The following is a 24,068-nucleotide window of genomic DNA, read 5'->3' on the forward strand; positions in this document are numbered from 1 at the left end:
ATAACTAATAGTGCTCCTGTCTCCTCAAAAGTATTCCACTTTGGTTAGGAATTATACGGTTGCCCTACATACTATAGATGAGACAGTTCAGCAGCAACCCTGTGATTATTTTTACCTTTGCAGATGGAAGGTGCCTAGAAACCTGCTCCTGTGACTATGTCGCTGGGAACAGTTTTGCCATAGGAATGCCATCTGGCCCTCAAAACTCCTTCTGAGATATAGAAGAAAATGAACATGTAATGAGCTATCATTAAAATGATTTTTATTCATGTATCAGCAATCAATTCAATAACATTGTCCTCCAAATTTCTAAACAAAATATTGGAAAATACCTCATTTGCACAAAGGATTAGTTACCAATCTTTAGTCTTTTATTTCCTCAGTTTCTAGAAGATGCTCTGAGACATATCAAGTGACTGTTAATTGTGCCTACACCCCTTCAACTTAGGGGCACCTTGCTTAACACAGTACACTCGGAACTAAGTGTGAAATCAAAATATTCAACACACCTTTACCTTATCATGCACTTCAAATACATTTTTGTCAGAATATATTTTGACCAATAGAACAAAACTGCAGACCAGCCTACTTATGGGAAACTTCACCATCTAGCCTATTGGCTGAAGCCATTGTCATCGCCAAATCAAACAGCCAAATACAACTGACTCTCTCTCTCTCTCAGGAGAGACTTAACTTTATTTTTAACTTACTTTATTTTAATTCAAATTCATTTATTAATGGTTCCTTTGACAACCCGCTCACTTCTGAAATCAGAAAACCAGCAACTTCCTCAGTTCCCACAAGTTCGCCTGGACAATCACACGGGCAGGAACAGGCGCGACACCCTGGTGGCTTCATGGTGCTTTGATTAAAGGATGTTTTATGCCACAGGATTTCAAATGATCTCTTTGTTTGGAGTACCAGAAGTTTCTGTCCTCCAGAGAACTGCCCCTGGTACATTCTAGAAGGGTGGGAGACCCTCCTTCGGAAAACAGGGGAGTGGGAAGGAACCCTGCAGGCAGCCACCTCCAGACAGCATGTGCTGAGCTCGGGAGAGGGTGCCTGTGGGAACCAAGCCTCTGGAATGAGCTCCCTTGAAGCCAGTCATGACCTGGGCCTCCAGGAGGCCTTTCGGGTCTTCTGGGGAGCTGTGCCCCTTGGGCCTCCGGAGAGACCCCACTTATTCTCCCTGAGAATGGTGTCTTATATCTGGAACTCACTGCTTCTGTGTTCTTCTCCCCCATCTCAAACACATCCTTGCATTTGTCTCCACAGAGACCACCCCAGATGGGGCGCCTCCAACACGGCCCTGGCACGATGGCTCCCTCCAGTCTATGAGGACGGCTTCAGTCAGCCCCGAGGCTGGAACCCCGGCTTCTTGTACAACGGGTTCCCACTGCCCCCGGTGGGTACTCAGAACGCTACTATCCTGGACTAAGATTGGGTCCTGTGATGCTGAGGGAGGGAAATAGCCTTTTACTGGGTTCTTGCTCGTGCTGGGTGCTGCGTGCAATCCCTTCAGATCCTCCCAGCCTCCCTTTGATGTAGCAATCACTGTTTCTGCCCTATGGCTTAGGAGCCAAGGCTCAGGGAGATTGAAATCTCTTAGTGAGTGGAACCCTGCAGATTTAAATTAAGTTTTCTCAACCCTAACGTTTCTGTTCCTGAAAATCACTTCAGTGTTTTCAGATAAATTCCTTTATCCATCATGTGGGCTAGGTACATCCCAAGATGATTATGAGTTCAGCAATCCACTTGTTGATGTAAAGATGACTGCTTTACTCCCAGAGGTGAATTTATTTGCTGGACACTCATAGCCTAGTAGAATCTACTGGTCTATTTGGTCAAAAAATGGGTCATTTTGCCTGTAATTTAACTACTCATTTCAATGAATAAGCCAGCCTGTTTGCTCTTGTGCCATGTTCAGTGATGAAATTATCTAGAAATACATCAGTGGATGTTCTGTTTAGCCCAAAGAGCGCAGGTGGTGGGACTCAGGTCTGACTCAGACCAGCTGTGGACAGATACACCAGCACAGAGTTCCCCTACAAAAGCCAACAACTTTACCTAGGCAATTTTCCTAGGCGGGCTTTTAGTAAGAGGACCTGGTATTCCCAGAAGCCGTGAGAAGCCCTGGGTAGAGCTGGAGGCTGTGTCACTGAAGACGGCTCGGTGCTCCCAGCAGCAGGGACAAGGCAATTGGGCTCACGCTCTGCTCCCACTGGCTTCCTGCAAGTCGCTTTCCTTCTTGGCCTCAGTTGGACAATCCCTAAAATGGGATAAGACTGTCTTACCCACCTTATGCTCAACAGTGGACCAGTTCAACCCCCGAGGCTTTTTAAACTCTCAGTATTATGAGATTGTGATTCTGTAAACCCATATTTGCTCAGAATTATTTCACTATTGAGAAAAATCAGAGTTCAAGTGTCTTTAAATGAAATTGTGTTGGTTTTCTACCCAGCTGTGACAAATTGCTCCAAATTTAGTGGCTGAAAACAACATAAATGTGATCTTCCAATTTCACAATCAGTGTCTGATGTCTCACTTGGCTGAAATCAAGGTGTTGCAGAGCTGGTTCTTTCTGGAAGCTCCAGGGGAGATCCCTTTCCTGGCAATTCCAGCTTCTGGAGGTGCCTGCATCCCCTGGCTCATGGCACCTCCTTCCAAGCCGGCAATGTTGTCTGTCTCTGTGCCTTTGTTTGGAGTCACATCTCCACCTCCCGTCAGGAGAGGGCCTCCAACTTTAAGGACCCATGTGACTGGATTGGACACTCGTGGAGACCCAGGACAACCTTCCCATCTCAAGGCCCTTAATGTAATCGCATCAGCAGGCTCCAAGGATTAGCGAATGGATGTTGTGCGAGAGGCATTTTTCTGCCTCCACAGATGACCCACTGACCCTCAAAGATTCATATCCAGTCCACATGCCTAACATGCTCACCCCATTCCAAGGTTCCCCCAAACCCCATCCCATGACGGCACCAACTCTAGGCCCAAAATCCAATCCAAATCTCACCACATAAATCATCCACATCAGGTAGGGCAGGCTCAGGGTAAGATCCATCCAGGACAAAATTCCTCTCCATCTGGACCTAGCCTGTGAGACAGGGAAGCTTGTCGTCTGCTCTCCAGATGCCCTGGCGGAACGGTGTTAAACATAACAGCAACAGATGTCTGCGTGGAGAATGGAAAGGAAGGGGAGTCACTCCTCCCAACCCACGTTGAAATCCAGCCAAGCAACTCCCTTAGGCTTCAAGGCCAAGGAGTACTCGCTTGTGGCTGGAGGCTCTGCCCTCTGAGTCATGAACTCAACTGTCCTAAAGCCTGGCTGTTTTGTCAATGACTCTTCACTTAATCCCCACAACAACACTGAAAGCTCAACCTTTCCATATTAACTTACAGATGAGGAAGTGAGGGCTGAGGGAAGTTAATGCCAGGCCCTCCAGCCACCACAAATCAAGGCAGGGATTCAAGTCCAGGGGCATCTGTCTTCAAAGCTTATGCTCCTCCTGCCCTAACTCCAGGGCACAGATCTCCTAGGGGCACCTGGAGCTCTGTGAACAAGAACCACACCAGGAAGTGCATGATCCCAAAGGGTCATCTTTCTGCTACCACAGGGTCCTCCTATGTCCTGACCAATGGTCTCTTCCTACCCAGGTCCGGGAGGTGACAAGACATGTCATTCAAGTTTCAAATGAGGTTGTCACAGATGATGACCGCTATTCTGACCTCCTGATGGCATGGGGACAATACATCGACCACGACATCGCGTTCACACCACAGAGCACCAGCAAAGCTGCCTTCGGGGGAGGGGCTGACTGCCAGATGACTTGTGAGAACCAAAACCCATGTTTTCCCATACAAGTAAGTTTTAGAAAACGTTTCTATGTTTGTTATGAAACTAAGTGCTATTTAAAACGTCAAACAGAATGGTATAAAACAAAATGTGAAAGTCTGTTTCTTTGTCCTATTCCCAGGGGTAGCAGTTGTGAATATCTGGTGCATCTCACTGGAAATTCCCTGGGTACACGTATATATAGCATGTATGATAGTGTGGGTACACATATATATAGCATGTATGATACTGTGGGTACACATATATATAGCATGTATGATAGTGTGTGGGCAGATGTGTACATAGCATGTATGATACTGTGGGTACATATATATATAGCATGCATGATAGTGTGTGGGCAGATGTGTACATAGCATGTATGATACTGTGGGTACACATATATATAGCATGTATGATAGTGTGTGGGCAGATGTGTACATAGCATGTATGATACTCTGGGTACACATATATGTAGCATGTATGATAGTGTGTGGGCAGATGTGTACATAGCATGTATGATACTGTGGGTACACATATATATATAGCATGTATGATAGTGTGTGGGCACATGTGTACATAGCATGTATGATACTGTGGGTACACATATATGTAGCATGTATGATAGTGTGTGGGCAGATGTGTACATAGCATGTATGATACTGTGGGTACACATATATGTAGCATGCATGATAGTGTGTGGGCAGATGTGTACACAGCATGTATGATACTGTGGGTACACATATATGTAGCATGTATGATAGTGTGTGGGCAGATGTGTACATAGCATGTATGATACTGTGGGTACACATATATAGCATGTATGATAGTGTGGGCAGATGTGTACATAGCATGTATGATACTGTGGGTACACATATATATAGCATGTATGATAGTGTGTGGGCAGATGTGTACATAGCATGTATGATACTGTGGGTACACATATATGTAGCATGTATGATAGTGTGTGGGCAGATGTGTACATAGCATGTATGATACTGTGGGTACACATATATAGCATGTATGATAGTGTGGGCAGATGTGTACATAGCATGTATGATACTGTGGGTACACATATATATAGCATGCATGATAGTGTGTGGGCAGATGTGTACATAGCATGTATGATACTGTGGGTACACATATATATAGCATGTATGATCGCGTGTGGGCAGATGTGTACATAGCATGTATGATACTGTGGGTACACATATATAGCATGTATGATCGTGTGTGGGCAGATGTGTACATAGCATGTATGATACTGTGGGTACACATATATAGCATGTATGATCGTGTGTGGGCAGATGTGTACATAGCATGTATGATACTGTGGGTACACATATATGTAGCATGTATGATAGTGTGTGGGCAGATGTGTACATAGCATGTATGATACTGTGGGCACATGCATATATAGCATATATGATAGTGTGTGGGCAGATGTGTACATAGCATGTATGATACTGTGTGGTCACAAGTATATAGCATATAGGATTATGTGTGGGCACATGTATTGGCACATCACAGGTGGGCTCGTGTGTATATAGCATGTATGATATTGTGTGGTCGTGTATATAGCATATAGGATTATGTGTGGGCATGTGTATTAGCATATATGATCTCGGGTGGGCACGTGTGTATATGGCATATAAGATAGTGTGTGGGCACGTGTGTATATGGCACATAAGATAGTGTGTGGGCACGTGTGTATATGGCATATAAGATAGTGTGTGGGCACGTGTGTATATGGCATATAAGATAGTGTGTGGGCACGTGTGTATATGGCATATAAGACAGTGTGTGGGAACGTGTTTATATGGCATATGAGATTGTGGGCACGTGCGTTTATGGCACATAAGATAGTGTGCAGGCACGTGTGTATATGGTATATAAGATAGCGTGTGGACACGTGTGTATATAGGATATAATATAGTGTGTGGGCACATATGTATATGGCATATAAGATACTGTGTGGGCACATGTGTATATAGGATATAAGATAGTGTGTGGGCACGTGTGTATATAGCATATAAGACAGTGTGTGGACACATGTGTATATAGTATATAAGATAATATGCGGACATGTGTGTATATAGTATATAAGACAGTTTGTGGGCACATGTGTATATGGCATATAAGACAGTTTGTGGACATGTGTGTATATGGCATATAAGATAGTGTGTGGACATGTGTGTATATGGCATATAACATGCTGTGTGGGCACATGTGTTTATAGCATATAAGACAGTTTGTGGGCACATGTGTATATGGCATATAAGACAGTTTGTGGACATGTGTGTATATGGCATATAAGATAGTGTGTGGACATGTGTGTATATGGCATATAAGATACTGTGTGGGCACGTGTGTTTATAGCATATTAGTTTGTGGGCACGTGTGTAAATAGAGCCTATTATCCCATGTGTACCTGCACTTTTTCTCATCCTCTGTGTCACATCATGTGCATGCTCAGTGCCTGGTAAGGACCACTTAGCAATAGTTCTTATACATGTCTGCTTAACATTAAGTGAACAGAAATGTAATTGTTTACAACTTAGTATTCCATTTGTGTGTGCATTATAATCTATCTAACCACTTTCCCTATTAATGAGCATGAGTTGCCTTCTGCTTCATTGCTGTTTTTATGCTGTCACAAATAATGAAGCAAAGAGCACACTTGGCCCTCAATCTTTGTGCCCATGTGCACACCTGATAGATCCAGGGGTAAGATTGCTAAGTCACGGTGGAGGTGCCTGTGGAATTTTGATAAATATTGCAGAATTACTCTCCATTAATATTGCACAAATGTTCACTCTTACCAGAAAAGAAAGAGACAATATAGGTAGATTTTTAATTTTATTTCTCTCTGGAAACCAGCCTTGAAGTTAACAAGGGACATTTTCTTTTTTTTTTTTTAAGACAGGGTCTCACCCAGTCGCCCAGGCTGGAGTGCAGTGGTGCAATCTCGGCTCACTGCAACCTCCGCCTCCCGGGTTCAAGCAATACTTCTGCCTCAGCCTCCCTAGTAGCTGGGACTACAGGCAGGTGCCACCACACCCGGCTAATTTTTGTATTTTTAGTAGAGACGGGGTGTCACCATGTTGGCCAGGCTGGTCTCGAACTCCTGACCTTGGGATCCGCCTGCCTTGGCCTCTCAAAGTGCTGGGATTACAGGTGTGAGCCACCGTGCTCAGCCAACAAGGGACATTTTCTACTTAAGAGCACAGATGGTTTCGATCTCATGTCCTCTCTAACATTCATTCAATAAAACTTCACTGGCAGTTATTCTGTGCCATGCTGTGCTGTGTGCTAGGCAGGCTGAAAAGGAAGACAGGCTGGTCCCTGGAAGGTGGGCAGGACAGTTACATAAACCAGCAGTTACAAAATTCTGGGCATCTGCAGAGGAGGTCCCAGTGGGCAAAATCAAGACATCTAAACAAAATATCCCAAAAGGAATAATATTGGGGGAAAGGTGGAAAAGGAGCACCATAAAGACTGTGTCAATCATAGAAACTGAATTTCAGCCAGGTCCAGCCTCTGTCCCTGGGAGGAGGTCTCTCTCTCTCACACGCTGGGGCTCAGACCCTGGGAGACAGGGGGCCCCTTGCTCTTCTCTGCAGAGCCCCCTCACCAGGGCGGCCCCCTGCATGTGTTCCCTGCTGCATGTACCTCTAACCTGGGATTCTTTCTTTCTTTTTTTTTTTTTTTGAGCTGGAGTCTTGCCCAGGCTGGAGTGTAGTGGCGCAATCTCAGCTCACTGCAACCTCCGCCTCCCGGATATAAGCGATTCTCCTGCCTCAGCATCCTGAGTAGCTGGGACTACAGGCATGCGCCACCATGCCTGGCTAATTTTTCTATTTTTAATAGAGATGGGGTTTCATCGTGTTGGCCAGGCTGGTCTCAAACTCCTGAACTCAAGTGATCTGCCCACCTTGGCATCCCAAAGTGCTGGGATTACAGGTATGAGCCACTGTGCCTGGCCCTAGTGTTATTCTTCACCACTCAGGACCCCAAAGTTCTCATCTGTTAACATTAGAGCTGTTAGATCTTGCAGAAGTACCTGTATCTTCAGCAATGAACAGTCTGCCAAGCAGAGGCCCTCGTTCCCAGCTAAGTGGCTCCCCAGCAGAATCTGTGCAAAAAAATGACTGAGTTATGCAGCCTGGAGAAGCAGTGGAGATGGGCACCTATTATCTATCAGGTCTTGGGTTCCAGGCTTGCCTTGTAACTTATTATCTGCGTGTATATAGGTTTGTTGTCCATAAAAAGAGTATATTTCCCAGGCTGGCCTTGTAACTTATTAGCTGCATGTATATAGGTTTGTTGTCCATAAAAAGAGTATATTTCCCACCTAATAATGTAGCAATTAGAATGAAATGAGATCGAATTTGCAAAACCAGGCTCAGAGAAGGAATTCAATGAACGTGTATTGTTATTGCTGTGTTGCTGGAAGCGTAGACCTCTGAGAGGGATGTGGGGTGATTAGGGAAGCTCAGCAGGGAGGGAGCACGTTGGGTAGGGAGCTGCACTGAGAGAACTACTCTGTGTGGAGGTTGGGCTCCCCTGGAGCTGCACTGAGAGAACCACTGTGTAGTGGGGTGGGGGCTCCACCTTTGGGCTCCCCTGGAGCTGCACTGAGAGAATCACTGTGCGTGGGGGCTCCACCTTTGGGGATCTCCTGGAGTTTCGCTGGTTTGGGCAAGAGCTGGTGAAAAGCAGCCTTGGAAGAAGGAGGGATTGTTCTTGCAAGTCTGCGGCTGCTATTGGGGTAATTTATGTTTGTCCAGACAGGTGGGACAGTTGGGGGCCACCATCTGGGTGGGAAGGACACGGGTAGCCCTGAGGCCAGACAAGGACCCCAGGAAAAGCCCAGCCCTTCAGGGCCACACACACCGTGGGGGAGGTTGGGGGGCCTCTGGCCAGGGCATCATCCTGGGCACGTTCTGCTGGTATCCAGGGTCACGTGATGGTTGTGGTGAGCCCCACACACCCGCCCCCAGAGGCTCCTTCCTCCACCCACAATACTCAGTTATGTGGATGGCTGCGTTCGTATAAAGATAAATATATTAATGTGGGTTCAAACGTTCTTTGGCCTAAATGTTTATTATTTTCTTCTGATTTTAAAGCAAGTTAAAGATTTTGTGACCACACTTGCTCCTGTGGCCCTAGGCACTGTGGCTATGGTGCCGCCTGGGTAGGCTGGCCCTGGGGAAACTGGACTTCCACCTGCCTCAGGGGAGGAATTGGCCTTTCGTCCTAAGAAAAGTCTCCTCAGAAGAACCCGAGTGGGAGTGAAAAGCAAAAGTGAGTTGGGCCCCAGGGCCCCCTGCCCCACCGGGCATAAATATACCCACAGGCATGCACACACTCACAGGCACAGGTGACCGTGACCGCCCGTACACCTGTGTGCACGCCCTTGTGCACACACACGCACACCCACCCACACCCATACACACACGTGCACACAGGCACACGCACCTATACATGCTCATGACACACAGACCCACACACACACCTGCACACACCTCACATGCACACAGCTGCTCCAGGATCCTTCTGCTGACATGCGGACCCTGTGTAACTCAGGAGTGTATTGGACGAGGGCAGGGGGGGCCGTGGCGAGGAGCAGGATACTGTGATGCCCGTGGAGACCCCCGCAGAGGTTCCGGGGGGTCCGGGCACTGGCTCCTTCGGGGCTCCCTACTGGATCTCAAGGGAAAGGCGGGTGCTCTCATCAGCCATGTCACTCTCCAGTGTCCTCCTTTCTTTTTAGGGCTCAGTTAGAGTGAGCCCGGTCACCCCAGGTACCGTCTCTCTGCCCTATTTCAACTTTCTCTTCTGGCTCTTCTGGGCCAGCCTGTCTTTCGTGGGGCAGGACTGGGGTTGACAGCACTTCCCTTCCACACGGAGCACATGCTTGTGGGACCCTGAAGGCAGAGAGGCTGGGGCAGGTGCTGCGGGCAGCAGGCGGGGAGGGGCTGGACCATCTCAGGCGGGGAGCCTGCAGGGCTTGTTCCCAGGAGCTGAGGAGCTGACTCCAGACCTCAGGGCTCTGCGCTAAGGTCCCTGGACACAAACTCAGGGCACAGACAAGAGGCAAACCCTCAGGGGACGACTTGAAAATATGGAATCACAAGGAATTGTTATCTTCATTCTATAAAGAGCTCTTATAAAGCAATGAGAAAAAAATAAACACCCAATGGAATAAACACCCGATGTGAACAAGAAAATTACAAGAAAACCCAAATACGTGTGTGTAGGTAAACACACACACACACACACACACACAGATATCAATGAAAGATAAATGAACAGCAAGATGCTGTTTTTAAACATACAGACTGGAAAGAAATTATGAAATTTTAATTTAGTGTTGTTGAGGGTATTGAGAAATCATTTGCATCCATGCATTGCTGTGCAAAAGTAAACTGGTGAATACATTCGGGACACGATGTGACATAAGGTATGAAATGAAATCAGGCCCATTCACAGCACCACAAGAATCTTCCCTAGGGACAATGTCCAAACTGCCCTTAAAAGTGGGTGAATATATTAGTTTGTCACGATTGTTTATATCACCAAAATACTGAAAAACTTTAAACGTTGATCACAGGCTATGAGCATGAGAAACACAAGCAACTTTAGACAATCATGTTATACAGTGATATTATGGAAATGGTAAAATGTTGCCCAGCTTAGTAAAATTTTAGATGATATTGTACTTGTCACTTTTCTTATTTCAAAATGTTCATTATTGAGCATATATTATCTTTGTACTTAGAGAAAAATAACAATAAAATTATTTGTAAACAATTTTAAAAATAAAAGGCAAGACCACATCTGGCAGGGAGGACACCTGCGTGCCCGTGGGTGAGAACGTGGGAGAGGCCCCAGGGTGGGTCTCCAGGGCACTTTCCAGGGCTCTTGGTGTCAGGCATGAACCTCCTGGCTTGCAGTTAAGAGTGTCCATCAATTATTCAGATCCTGTCCATCCCCAGGGCAGCCTTCAGTAGTTGAGTGATTGAGCTAACAGTCACTCCAGTGAGATGAAAAATATACCGTATACTCTAGGAGTAGCTCCATAAACCCAATAGATGACACATCATAAATCAGTGCTTTTAAATGTTTGATGTCCTTTACACTCAAAGCATCCAGTTTGGTCTCTGAGTATTTACGGTGGAGTGAGAGGGTGGAAGTTCTTAGTGAGCTTGGAGCAAGTTGGGACTTTTGAATCCCAAAGCAAAACAGAAAATGATCCACACAATTTATCATATCTATGTTTATTCAGTTTTCCTAAGAGAAACATGTTTCCAGCAACTACACGAGACTATAAATTAAAGTGTTTTGAGTCTCTGACTACTGATCACTCAGCCCAGGGAGCTGTGAGAGCTTTGCAGCATCCTCTATTTTAGGACTGGGCTTTTCTTCATGACCTTGCTCCTTCTGGTCTCGGCTAAGTGGGGGTGCAGGCAGCCCGATGATGTTCCACTGGGTGCTGCAAACCCCCCATCCACTGCAGAAAATATGTAGCTATGAATGTATCGACAACCTCAAAGCTATGCAAGCCTCCTCATGCACACCAATGTGTATCTCTAGGTACATATTACAAAGTGGAGTTAGTGGGTTATGAATTATGTTCATGTTGGAATTTTTTATTTCCATAAGTTATTGAGAACAGGTGGTGTTTGGTTACATGAGTAAGTTCTTTAGTGGTGATTTGTGAGATTTCGGTGCACCCATCACCCAAGCAGTATACACTGAACACAATTTGTAGCTTTTTATCTCTCACTCCCTTCCCACCCTTTCCCCCTGAGTCCCCAAAGTCCACTGTGTCATTCTTACGCCTTTACATCCCCATAGCTGAGGTGTCACTTATGAGTGAGAACATAAAATGTTTGGTTTTCAATTCTTGAGTTACTTCACTTAGAATAATAGTCTCCAATCTCAACCAGGTCTCTGCAAATGCCATTAATTCACTCCTTTTTATGGCTGAGTAGTATTCCATCGTATATAAAAAATCACAGTTTCTTTATCCACTCATTGATTGATGGGCATTTGGGTTGCTTCCACAGTTTGGCAATTGTGAATTGTGCGGCTATAAACACGGATGTGCCAATGCATTTTTCGTATAATGACTTCTTTTCCTCTGGGTAGATACCCAGGAATGGGATCGCTGGATCAAATAGTAGTTCTACTTTTAGTTCTTTAAGGAATCTCCACGGTGTTTTTCCACAGTGGTTGTACTAATTTACATTCCTACCAGCAGGGTAGAAGTGTTGTTCCCTTTTCACCATATCCACACCAACATCTATTATTCGTTGATTTTTTTTATTATGGCCATTCTTGCCAGAGTAAGGTGCTAATGTGTTGTGTTTTGATTTGCATTTCCCTGATCATTAGTGATGAGCATTTTTTCATATGTTTGTTGGCCATGTGTGTATCTTCTTTTGAGAATTCTCTATTCATGTCCTTAGCCCACTTTTTGATGGGATTGTTTGGTTTTTCTTACTGATTTGTTTGAGTTTGTTGTAGATTCTGGATATTAATCCTTTGTCAGATGTGTGGATTGTGAAGATTTTCTCCCACTCTGTGAGTTGTCTGTTTACTCTACTGACTGTTCCTTTTGCTGTGCAAAAGCTCTTTAGTTTAATTAAGTCCCAACTATTTATCTTTCTTTTTATTGAATTTGCTTTTGTGTTCTTGGTCATTAAATCCTTGCCTGAGCCAATAGCAAGAAGAATTTTTCCAATGTTATCTTCTAGAGTTTTTATGGTTTCAGGTCTTAGACTTAAGTCCTTGATCCATCTTGAGTTGTTTTTGTATAAGGTGAGAGATGAGGATCTAGTTTCATTCTCCTACACATGGCTTGCCAATTATCGCAGCATCATTTGTTGAATAGGGTGTCCTTTGCCCACTTTATGTTTTTGTTTGCATTGTCGAAGATCAATTGGCTGTAAGTATTTGGGTTTATTTCTGGGTTCTCTATTCTATTCCATTGGTCTATGTGCTTATTTTTGTACCAGTACTATGCTGTTTTGGTGACTATGGCCTTATAGTATAGTTTGAAATCAGGTAATGTGATGCCTCCAGATTTGTTCTTTCTGCTTAGTCTTGCTTTGGCTATGCAGGCTCTTTTTTGGTTCCATACGAATTTTAGGATTTTGTTTTCTAATTTGATGAAGAATGATGGTGGTATTTTGATGGGAATTGTGTTGAATTTGTAGATTGCTTTCAGCAGTATGGTTGTTTTCACAATATTGACTCTACCCATCCATGTGCATGGGTTGTGTCCCATTTGTTTGTGTTGTCTGTGGTTTTTTTCAGCAGTGTTTTGTAGTTTTCCTTGTAGAGGTCTTTCATCTCCTTGGTTAGGTATATTTCTAAGTATTTTATTTTTTTCAGCTATTGTAGAAGGGGTTGAGTTCTTGATTTGATTCTCAGCTTGGTTGCTGTTGGCGTATAGAAGAGCTACTGATTTCTGTACATTAATTTTGTATCCAGAAATTTTTCTGAATTATTTGATCAGTTCTAGGAGCTTTCTGGAGGAGTCTTTAGGGTTTTCTAGGTAAACAATCATATCATTAGCAAACAGCAACAGTTTGACTTCCTCTTCGCCGATTTGGATGCCCTTTATTTCTTTTGTCTGATTCCTCTGGCTAGGATTTCGAGTACTATGTTGAAGAGGAGTGGTGAGAGTAGGCATCCTTGTCTTGTTCCCATTCTCAGAGGGAATGCTTTCAACTTTTCCCCATTCAGAATTATGTTGGCTGTGGGTTTGTCATAGATGGCTTTTAATACATTGAGCTATTTCCCTTGTATGCCAATTTTGCTGAGTTTTGATCATAAAAGGATGCTGGATCTTTTTGAATGCTTTTTATGCATCTATCGAGACGATCATGTGATTTCTGCTTTTGATTCTGCTTACATGGTGTATCACATTTATTGACTTGTGTATGTTAAGCCATCCCTGCATCCCTGGTATGAAACCCACCTGATCATGGTGGATTATCTTTTTGATATGCATTGGATTTGGTTAGCTAGTATTTTGTTAAGGATTTTAGCATCTATGTTCATCAGGGTTATTGGTCCGTAGTTTTCTTTTTTGGTTATGTCCTCTTCTGGTTTTACTATTAGGGTGATACTGGCCTTACAGAATGATTTAGGAAGGGTTGCCTGTTTCTCTATCTTGTGGAGTAGTGTCAATAGGATTGGTAACAATTCTTCTTTGAATGTCTGGCAGAATTCTTCTGTGAATCTGTCTGGTTCTTGACTTTTTTTGTTGGTAATTTTTATATTACCATTTCAATCTTACTGCTTGTTATTGTTCAGGGTGTCTAATTCTTCCTGACTTAAGCTAGGAGGGTTATATCTTTCCAGGAATTTATCCATCTCTAGGTTTCCCAGTTGATGTGCATAAAGCTGTTCATAGTAGCCATGAATGATCTTTTGTATTTCAGTGGTGTCAGTTGTAATATCTCCCATTTTGCTTCTAATTGAGCTTATTTGGATTTTCTCTTCTTTTCTTGGTTAACCTTGCTAATGGTCTATCAATTTTATTTATCTTTTCAAAGAACCAGGTTTTTGTTTCATTTATCTTTTGTATTTTTTTTGTTGTTGTTTCAATTTCATTTAGTTCTGCTCTGATCTTGGTTATTTCCTTTCTTCTGCTGGGTTTGGGTTTGGTTTGTTCTTGTTTCTCTAATTCCTTAAGGTGTAACCTTAGATTGTCAGTTTGTGCTCTTTCAGATTTTTTATGTAGGCATTTAGGGCTATGAACTTTCCTCTTAGCACCGCCTTTGCTGTATCCTAGAGGTTTCGATAGGTTGTGTCATTATTGTCATTCAGTTCAAAGAATTTTTTTTTTTTTGAGATGGAGTTTCGCTCTTGTTGCCCAGGCTGGAGTGTAGTGGCACAATCTCGGCTGATTGCAACCTCTGCCTCCTGGGTTCAAGTGATTCTCCTCCCTCAGGATCCCGAGTAGCTGGGATTATAGGCATCCACCACCATGCCCAGCTAATCTTTTGTATTTTTAGTAGAGATTGGGTTTCACCATGTTGGCCAGACTGGTCTTGAATTCCTGGTCTCAGGTGATCCACCAGCTCAGCCTCCCAAAGCGCTGGGATTACAGGCATGAGCCACTGTGCCTGGCCCCGAAGAATTTTTTAATTTCCATCTTGATTTCATTTTTAACCCAGTGTCATTCAGGAGCAGATTATTTAATTTCCATGTATTTGCATGATTTTGAAGGTTCCTTTTGGAGTTGATTTCCAGTTTTATTTCACTGTGGTCTGAGAGAGTGCTTGATATAATTTCAATTTTCTTAAATTTATTGAGGCTTATTTTGAGACCTATCATATGGTCTATCTCAGAGAAAGCTCCATGTGCTGTTGAATAGAATGTGTATTCTGCAGTTGTTGGGTAGAATGTTCTGTAAATACCTGTTAAGTCCATTTGTTCCAGGGTATAGTTTAAATCCACAGTTTCTTTGTTGACTTTCTGTCTTGATGACCTGTCTAGTGCTGTCAGTGGAGTGTTGCAGTCCCCCACTATTACTGTGTTGCTGTCTATCTCATTTCTCAGTTCTGTTAGTAATTGTTTTATAAATTTGGGAACTCCAGTGTTAGGTGCACATTTATTTAGGATTGTGATATTTTCCTGTTGGACAAGGCCTTTTATCATTATATAATGACCCTCTTTGTCTTTTTTAACCACTGTTGCTTTAAAGTTTATTTTGTCTGATATAAGAATAGCTACACTGCTCGCTTTTGGTGTCCATTTGCATGGAATGCCTTCTTCTACCCCTTTACCTTAAGTTTATGTGAGTCCTTATGTGTTAGGCATGTCTCTTGAAGGCAGCAGATGGTTGGTGAATTCTTATGCATTCTGCAATTCTGTATCTTTTAGGTGGAGCATTTAGACCATTTACATTCAATGTTAGTACTGAGATGTGAGGTATCATTCCATTCATTGTGCTATTTGTTGCCTGTACCCCTTGGGTTTTTGTGATTTTGCTGGTTTTTTTAATTGTATTTTTGTTGTATAGGTCCTGTGAGATTTATGCTTTAAAGAGGTTGTGTTTTGATGTGTTTCCAGGATTTGTTTCAAGATTTAGAGCTCCTTTTAGCAGTTCTTGTAGTGCTGCCTTGGTAGGGGTGAATTTTCTCATCATTTGTTTGTCTGGGAAAGATTGTTATCTTTCCTTCATTTATGAAGCTTAGCTTTGCTGGATACCACATTTTTGGTGGATAATTGTTTTGTCTGAGGAGGCTGAAGATGGGTCCCAATCCCTTCTAGCTTGTAGGGTTTCTGCTGAGAAATCTGCTGTTAATCTGATAGGTTTTTACTTTATAGGTTACCTGGTGTTTTTGTTTCACAGCTCTTAAGATTCTTTTCATCATCTTAACTTTAGGTAACCTGATGACAATGTGCCTGGGCAATGATCTTTTAGCAATGAATTCTCCAGGTGTTCTTTGAGCCTCTTGTATTTGGTGTCTAGGTCTCCAGCAAGGCCAGGGAGGTTTTCCTCGATTATTCCCCAAAATAAACTTTCCAAACTTTTAGATTTCTCTTCTTCCTCAGGAATGCTAATTATTCCTAGGTTTGGTCATTAGACATAATCCCAGACATCTTGGAGGCTATCTTCATATTTTCTTATTCTTTTTTCTTTGTCTTTGTTGGATTGGGTTAATCTGAAGACCTTGTCTTTGAGCTCTGAAGTTTTCTTTTGCTTGTTTGATTCTATTGCTGAGACTTTCCAGTACATTTTGAATTTCTCTGAGTGTGTCCAATGTTTCCTGAAGTTTTGATTGTTTTTTATTTGTGATATCTATTTCCTTGAATATTTCTCCCTTCACTTCTTGTATCATTTTTCTGATTTCCTTACATTGGGCTTTGCCTTTCTCTGGTGCCTTCCTGATTAGCTTAATAATTAACCTTCTGAATTCTTTTTCAGGTAAATCAGGGATTTCTCCTTGGTTTGGATCCATTGCCAGTGAGCTAGTGTGATTTTAGGGGGTGTTAAAGAGCCTTATTTTGTTATATTACCAGAGTTGGTTTTCTGGTTCCTTCTCATTTGGGTAGTCTCTGTCAGAGGGAAGGTCTAGGGCTCTAGCCTGTTGTTCAGATTCTTTCGCCCCAGGGGGTGTTCCCTGGACGTGATTAGTACTCTCCCTGTTTCCTAGGGATGTGGCTTCCTGAGAGCTAAGGTGTAGTTATTGTTATCTCTCTTCTGGATCTAGCCACCAAGTTCAAATTGTTACAAAGTTCAGCTGGCAGTTTCCTTCTCCCTGTGGCCTTTTACAGGTGCCTCTGGCAGCCCTCCTGAAGGACCCCTGTGAGGCAAGGTGGAAATGGCTTCCTAGGGGACCCAGAGATCCCACAGGGCTTTTCTGGCTGCTTCCTCTACTCTTGTATTCCACTCGGCTCTCTAAATGGACTCAGCTCCGGGTAAAGTCAGAATCTTCTCCCGTAATCTAGACCTTCAGGTTCCGCAGTGGGGGTGCATGTTCAGGGTGGACGATCTCTCCCACTTCCTCAGTTTGGGCACTCACAGTATTTGGGGTGTCTCCCGAGTCCTGCAGGAGCCATCCGCTTTCTTCAGAGGGTCTGCGGTTTCTCTTGGCTTTCCTAATGTATTCCTGCCGTCGTTCTGGAGCAAAAGTTCACGACGTGAACCTCCACACACTGCTCTGTTTGTCCAAGTGAGAGCTGAAACCTAGTCCTGCCTCTTGTCCGCCATGATCCGTCACAAAAAATCCTCCTCATGTTGGAATTTTAATAGGTACTCCCAAATTTCTCTGCAGCAATGAGATGGCGAATTGTATTTTCTAATTGATTATTTTTCAGCAACAATTAATCTTACATAATTCCTATTATTTTCCAATGCGGTAAAGAAGAAAATCTTGAATTTTACATTATTGGCTTTAAAACCTGTATCTGTGTCTCTTTTGTTGACCTAAAGCAAGAAGCTGAGGCACAAAATACATTTTAAAGAGTTTACTTGAGCCAAAATGAGAATAGCTGCCCGGAATACTTAGATCCAAATAACTTTGGACGTGAGCTTTGTTAGATCTTTGCTGCAAACAGGTTTCAAAGGCGAAAAAGGTGGACAAGGAGTGAGCCTTGGTCCTTCACTCTATATGATTGCTTGGCTTTTCATTTTGTTTACGGTGCCATTATTCATAAATTTAGGTCGATTTTCGTCAATTTTTTTTCTTCTCTATGACATCTACATTGTTATCTTACTGAGCAGGTCTTCCTTATCTGGTATATATAATAATATATATATAAATATATTTTTCTATATTTTATTTTAAACATATTAAAAACTGGGCTTGATATACAACTTTGTTTTATTCTGACTCTATTTTGTGTAGATAAAATACTGCTTTAGTGAGTAACATTTAAAAAAGCCATGGTGAGAGCAGCATCTGCCTCTGTTCCTAGATAAAGGGCATGATTCTGATGTTTTTCCTCACATACTGTGTCTACTAGGAATTTCTGCTAGACAACTTCAGTTAGAAATTTGAAAATCTTATTTGTAATTTCCCAAGAATTTTAATGAGGCTTGTGGGTTCCAGCTTTACTCAATACCTTCCCAGCATCGGCAGAGGAGGCCACAGGGCTTCCACTTCACTTCATTATTGTGTGAGCTACACTGGTAGATTTCCAACGCAGTGCCATATTTACATGGCCTGCATGATGGTGATGCAGGTTTTCATTTATTCTTGGATTGAATTTGCTAATATTTTATTTGAAATGTTGCCTCTCTCTTCATAAGCAGAGTTGTGCTACAGTGCTCTTTTCCGATGCTGCACCTATTTGGGTGTTACAAACACACCAGCATCTGACAGTGGTCAGGGGTTGCCCATTCTTTTACTATGCTCAGGATTACCTTGTCTAAAATCAAATTTGGGCTTTTTGTTTTGAATAACTGGTAGAGCTTATTTGTGACTCTGGTCCTGATAACCTCTGGGGTGGCAGATCTTTGGTTATGGGCTCAGTTCTGGGTGCAGTTAGTCTATTCGAGCCCATAAGTCTTTCCTGTTCTTTATTTTCTATTACCTTCCTATTACACTTTTTCATCTACTTCACATTTCTCACCCTCTTATGCTGAAAGCGAGTTGAGTTACGTTCACTGTGTCGTGCTTTTTGACAAGTGTAGTTAAGACTATGTATTTTCCTGTGACCCCCCCCCACAAATTTTGATACATGGTCCTTACATTGATGTTAATTCAAAATAGGTTTTAATTCAAATAAGAATTTCTTACATTAAACTTGAGCACCCACATGTAAGTGTAATTTCACATAAATGTAAAACTTAAACTGTGCCTGACTCTCCCGACACGAGTCTCTTCCTCTCCCTCCCTCATTTGCTAGACTCTCCTCCTGCTCACTCCCATGTTCTCCACTCATGCCCCTGCCCCCAAACCAATCATTTGACTCCCAAATGTTGATATTTGAAGTGTGTGTAGGGGAAAGGGGGCATGATAAATGAAACTAGAATAGTAAGAAGCTGGTGTAGACAGCATAGTGGGCTCAAAGGGATTCACTGGGCACCCCGTTTTAATCAGCATGCCCTTGCTATGATCTCAGCACTCATGGCATGCCCTTCCCATGATCCTGATGTTCATGGTGTGCCCTTCCCATGATCCTGATGCTCATGGTGTGCCCTTCCCATGATCTGAAAGTTCATAGCACATGCCCTTCCCATGATCTGAATGTTCATAGCACATGCCCTTCCCATGATCTGAATGTTCATAGCATACCCATCCCATTCTTTGAGTGCTCATAGTATGTTCTTCCTGTGATCTGAGTGCTGATATCATGCCCTTCCCATGATGCAAATGCTCACAGCATGCACTTCCTGTGATCTGAACGCTCATAGAGTGCTCTTCCTGTGATCCAAATGCTCATGGCATGCCCTTTCCATGACGTGAATGCTCATGGCGTGCCCCTCCTGTGTTCTGAATGCTTATAGAGTGCCCTTCACATGATCTGAGTGCTCATGGTGTGTCCTTTCTGTGATCCAAATACTCATGCTATGTCCTTCCCTTGATCCAAATGCTCATGGTGTGTCCTTCTGATGATCTGAGTGCTCATAGTGTGCTCTTCCCACGATATGAGTGGTCACGGTGTGCCCTTTCCATGATATGAATGCTCACTTGGCTACACCTAAAGAAGTCATGCACAAGCATATTCTCTTGAATGTTGTTAACAAAAACAAGACTATGCTGAGTACACGTTCTGTATCTTGGATTCTCACTCAGTAGTGATGTGTCCTGGGAATCCCCCCAGTGGAGCGCCAAGCCATCCCTGCTTACGGCTGGACTGTTCCACACTCCGGGTCACAGCCATGGGTGTGCCCTTCCGTGTTACAGCCTCTGCCACAGCGTGGATCACCAGAAGTGACACTGCCAGGTTGGAAGGCAGCTTTAGCACTGCTATGCTGGTACTACTGTCTAAAAATTCTGTGACCCTCACAGCAACGACTGAGTGTACCCCTTACTCACATTCGCCATCCACACTGGCAACAGCCTTGTTTTTTTCTCATTTTTTTCTGCTTGTTTGGCGGCAAAAAAAAAAAAAAAAAAAAAAAAGGAGAGAGAGAGATATTTCGTTGTTACATTAGTTGCTTTCCCTGAATATTAGTGAATTTTAAAGTTGTCCTTTATTTATCTTTTTTTGGCAATTTGTATTTGTTCAACGAATGATCTGTTCATAGCCTTTGTCCATTTTTCTACTATTTGACTGTTAATTGATTTTAATTGCTCCTTTCCACTCTAGATGTTAACTCTCTATCTCTCACTTTTCTTACAAATGTTTTTCTACAGCCCCATCAATACAGAACTGTCAGCATGAAGCACTTTCATATTTTATAAGGCCAGGTCTACTTATGTGTTGATGGCTTCTAGGCTCAGTTTTGGTTCAGGAATCTCCTTTGCTCGAAGTCGACAGTGACCTCCTGGGTGGTATTACAGCACGGGTTTCCATTCATTTTGCACAGTGGACAGTCTGGGTGCGTTTTATTCCCATTCAGATGGAAAACCAGCTGGTTCTGCCCTCCTTCTCCCCACAGGCCTAGATAGCACTTTGTCACAGAAGAACTGGGGTCTGGTTCTGGGCTCTCTGTCTTCTTTTATTAACAGATTCATCTGTTCTTGTTGACAATACCGTGTGGACTTGGTCATAGCGGCCTTATAGTATATCCTATTATCTGTCAAGTCAATACCGCATCACCATTCTTTTCCCTAGTTTATTAAGGAATAAATAAATAATGGAATTTGTATCTTCATATAAACTTTAAAATTAATTTATCTATTTCAAAATGAAAAAGTACTATCATTATTATTGTAAATGAAATTGCATTTAATTTATACATTCATTTAGAGAGAAATGATCTTTTCCCAAATTTTTTGTATATTTAATGATGTTTTATGATTTTCTTTTTGTAGATCATGTGATTATTTTGTTAAATTTACACACCTGATTTTGATCAACTTTTTTGTCATTATGAAAGGGATTTTTTTTTCTCCATTACCATTCATGGTACTTTGCTAAAGAACAAAACAAAAAAGAAAGAAGGAAAAGAACAGTTTTATACTTATCCTCAGATCGAAGACATTTTTTAAAGAAATGTTATCAATTTTTTAGAATTTTTAGATGTTGTAGACATCTAACATAGCATTAAGAAAAAATAATTTTATTATGTTTTAAATCTTATTTTCTCTTACAGTAGCTTTACCAGCTCTTATTTTATTTTCTAGACTTTGGTCTAACTGAGATAGTACTAAGTACCAACAATGATAGCGGGAGTTTCTGCTAGTCCTTAATTTTAAATTAAATTGTTCCATTGTTTCACTGCTCGAGATAATATTTGTTATTGTTTCTACATTATATTTTAGCAATTCCAATCTATTCTATTTCTATTTAACCAGGAATGGTAAGTAATAGTAAATTGTGTTATTGCATTTTAAGTACCTATGATATTAATTTTTCTTCTTTAATTTGCTGACACCCTGGAAAATACAACTCTATTCTCCAACACGGAACCATTCTGTGAATAGATTCTATTTGACTATGGTAATTGCTGTTTTGATTTGCTGCCCTATCTTTTATTATTTTATTTAGAAGGGATATTGATCTGTATGCCCTGTCCTTGTCCTGTTTTCATCAGAGGCCAATACAAAAGTTTCGCTGACTCTGTAGAGTGCACTGGGGCCCTTTTCATCTTTTCCATGGCTGAAATAGTTTAAGCAACCTTGGAGTTACCTATCCTTTCGAGATTTGATAGAAGTCCACCGTCAATGCCATCTGACCTCTGGATTTCTGATCACCTTGTCTATCTCTTCCATCCTCATTGTCCATTGGAGTTTTACATTTCTTCTTGGAAAAGCTGTGGTTATTTCTATTTTGTTAGGGAGTCATCGATCTGTTCTTCATTTTCCAATGTGCTGCCATGAAACCGCATATACAGTCGCTCCTGGTTCTTCTCATCTCTCCTGCATGCCTGAGCCCTGCTCCTTTCTCATGGCAAATCCTGCCTCACTCGGTGCTCTTTCTTTGTTTTCCACACTGGGTTGTGAAGCAGGGCTTCATGTTTTCTTCCCACCAGGTCTTTTATTCATAGTTAATTATTTTAACTTCTGCATGCATTAATTTAACTTTCTCATTTATTTGTGCTTTAGCTCTTTGTTACTTAACTAAATTCTTAAAATAGCTACTTAATTTCTTGGTTTTTGTTGTTTTGATGAAAGCAATTTAAAGAGCACAGATTTTCTTCTGAGGAAGGCTTTGCTGGTGTGCTTGAATTTTCTTAACAAGTGAGTTAACTTTTCATTGATTTCTGGAGACACTTTCAGCTCTTCTTAAGAGTCTCTTTGAATCAGTGAGTAGGAGAATTTGCAGCTCCTTGTTATTTATTTGTAATTTTATTATTATTTGTGCTCTTCAATTTAATTCCTCTATTTCCTCCCATTCTTGGGGCCTCTGGGCCTGTATATTCTGAAGGGCGTGCACTGAAGTTCCGGCTGTCACGGTTTTCTTGGCTTTCCTACTCTTTTGCTGAATTTCAGCTCCTCCCTGGGTTCCCTGCTGGCCCCAAGTACTCACCTCGTCTACTCTAAGCCTCGCAGGCCTCCCTGAGGCTCTCAGTGGAAGCGCTTTTTTTTTTTCTTTTTTCTTTTTTTTGAGACGGAATCTCGCTCTGTCACCCAGGCAGGAGTACAGTGGCCCAATCTCGGCTCACTGCAAGCTCCGCCTCCCAGGTTCACGCCATTCTCCTGCCTCAGCCTCCCGAGTAGCTGGGACTACAGGTGCCCGCCACCGCGCCCGGCTAATTTTTTGTATTTTAAGTAGAGACGGGGTTTCACTGTGTTAGCCAGGATGGTCTCGATCTCCTGACCTCGTGATCCGCCCACCTCGGCCTCCCAAATTGCTGGGCGCCCACCTCAGCCTCCCAAAGTGCTGGGATTACAGGCGTGAGCCCCCGCGCCCGGCCGGAAGCGCTTGTTTAATGCACGATCTTTTTTAACGTGGACCCTGTGCTGGCTCTGAGCCAAGGCTGGGGCCTCGTTGCTGCCCCGACCCCCAGCTGGCCTTGGGCTGCACAGCTGCCAGGCCTGGGCGCTGCCCAGAGGGGTTCTGACAGCATCTGCTTTGCTGCTTCACCACAAGGCCGACTCCCTCTCACCTACATTCTTTCTGCTGCACCTCCTGTGCCTGGGTCCATCAGGAGCTCGGCCTGTCTCCCTGCACCGCACGGCACCGAGCGGCCAACCCCTGAGCGGCTGCTGGCTCGCTGGCCGCATTTCCCTAATGCAGCCCAGGTCTTCCGTTCCTTCCTACTCCTCAGTGCCCAGGCTGCACTTTGCCCCGAGAGGAGCTTTCCCCTTATTTTCACTGGTAATAATAATGTCCTATTACGAGAAGACCGTGATCTTCAGGAAGAGTCTCTTTCGGAATCTGTCCAACCCCGGTGATCTTGTGATTCTGGATGAGCGATTTAACCTCCTAAATCTGATAACGCCCAGGGTAGGCCCTGACCCCGTGACACCTCACCAGGGAGGAAGAGCTGACAGGGAAAGGGCACATGCTCTCTGCAGCCCACAGAGCTCGACTCTTCCCAGGAAACCTGTAAATCTGGAAAAAATATTTTAGATCTCCATGTTACAGATGAGAAGATGGAAGCTGGCCACAGCCAGAGTTGGAATCCCACCCAAGGTCTCCTCACTCC

At 43.1% G+C, this 24,068-nt stretch overlaps 1 protein-coding gene across 21 annotated transcripts in view; it reads left to right on the top strand.

Moving 5' to 3' along the window:
* Positions 1–24,068, top strand: part of TPO (thyroid peroxidase) — a 169,627-nt gene that overhangs the window by 78,372 nt on the left and 67,187 nt on the right. For all 21 annotated transcript variants that reach the window (XM_047445652.1, XM_047445655.1, XM_047445654.1 and 18 more), the window contains 2 exons: positions 1,276–1,405; positions 3,658–3,864. In XM_047445652.1, the coding sequence (XP_047301608.1) occupies positions 1,276–1,405; positions 3,658–3,864 (337 nt within the window). The remainder of the gene's footprint in view (positions 1–1,275; positions 1,406–3,657; positions 3,865–24,068) is intronic.

This window comes from Homo sapiens, chromosome 2 (genome assembly GCF_000001405.40).
Source record: "Homo sapiens chromosome 2, GRCh38.p14 Primary Assembly".
In the NCBI taxonomy this organism is placed as follows: Eukaryota; Metazoa; Chordata; class Mammalia; order Primates; family Hominidae; genus Homo; species Homo sapiens.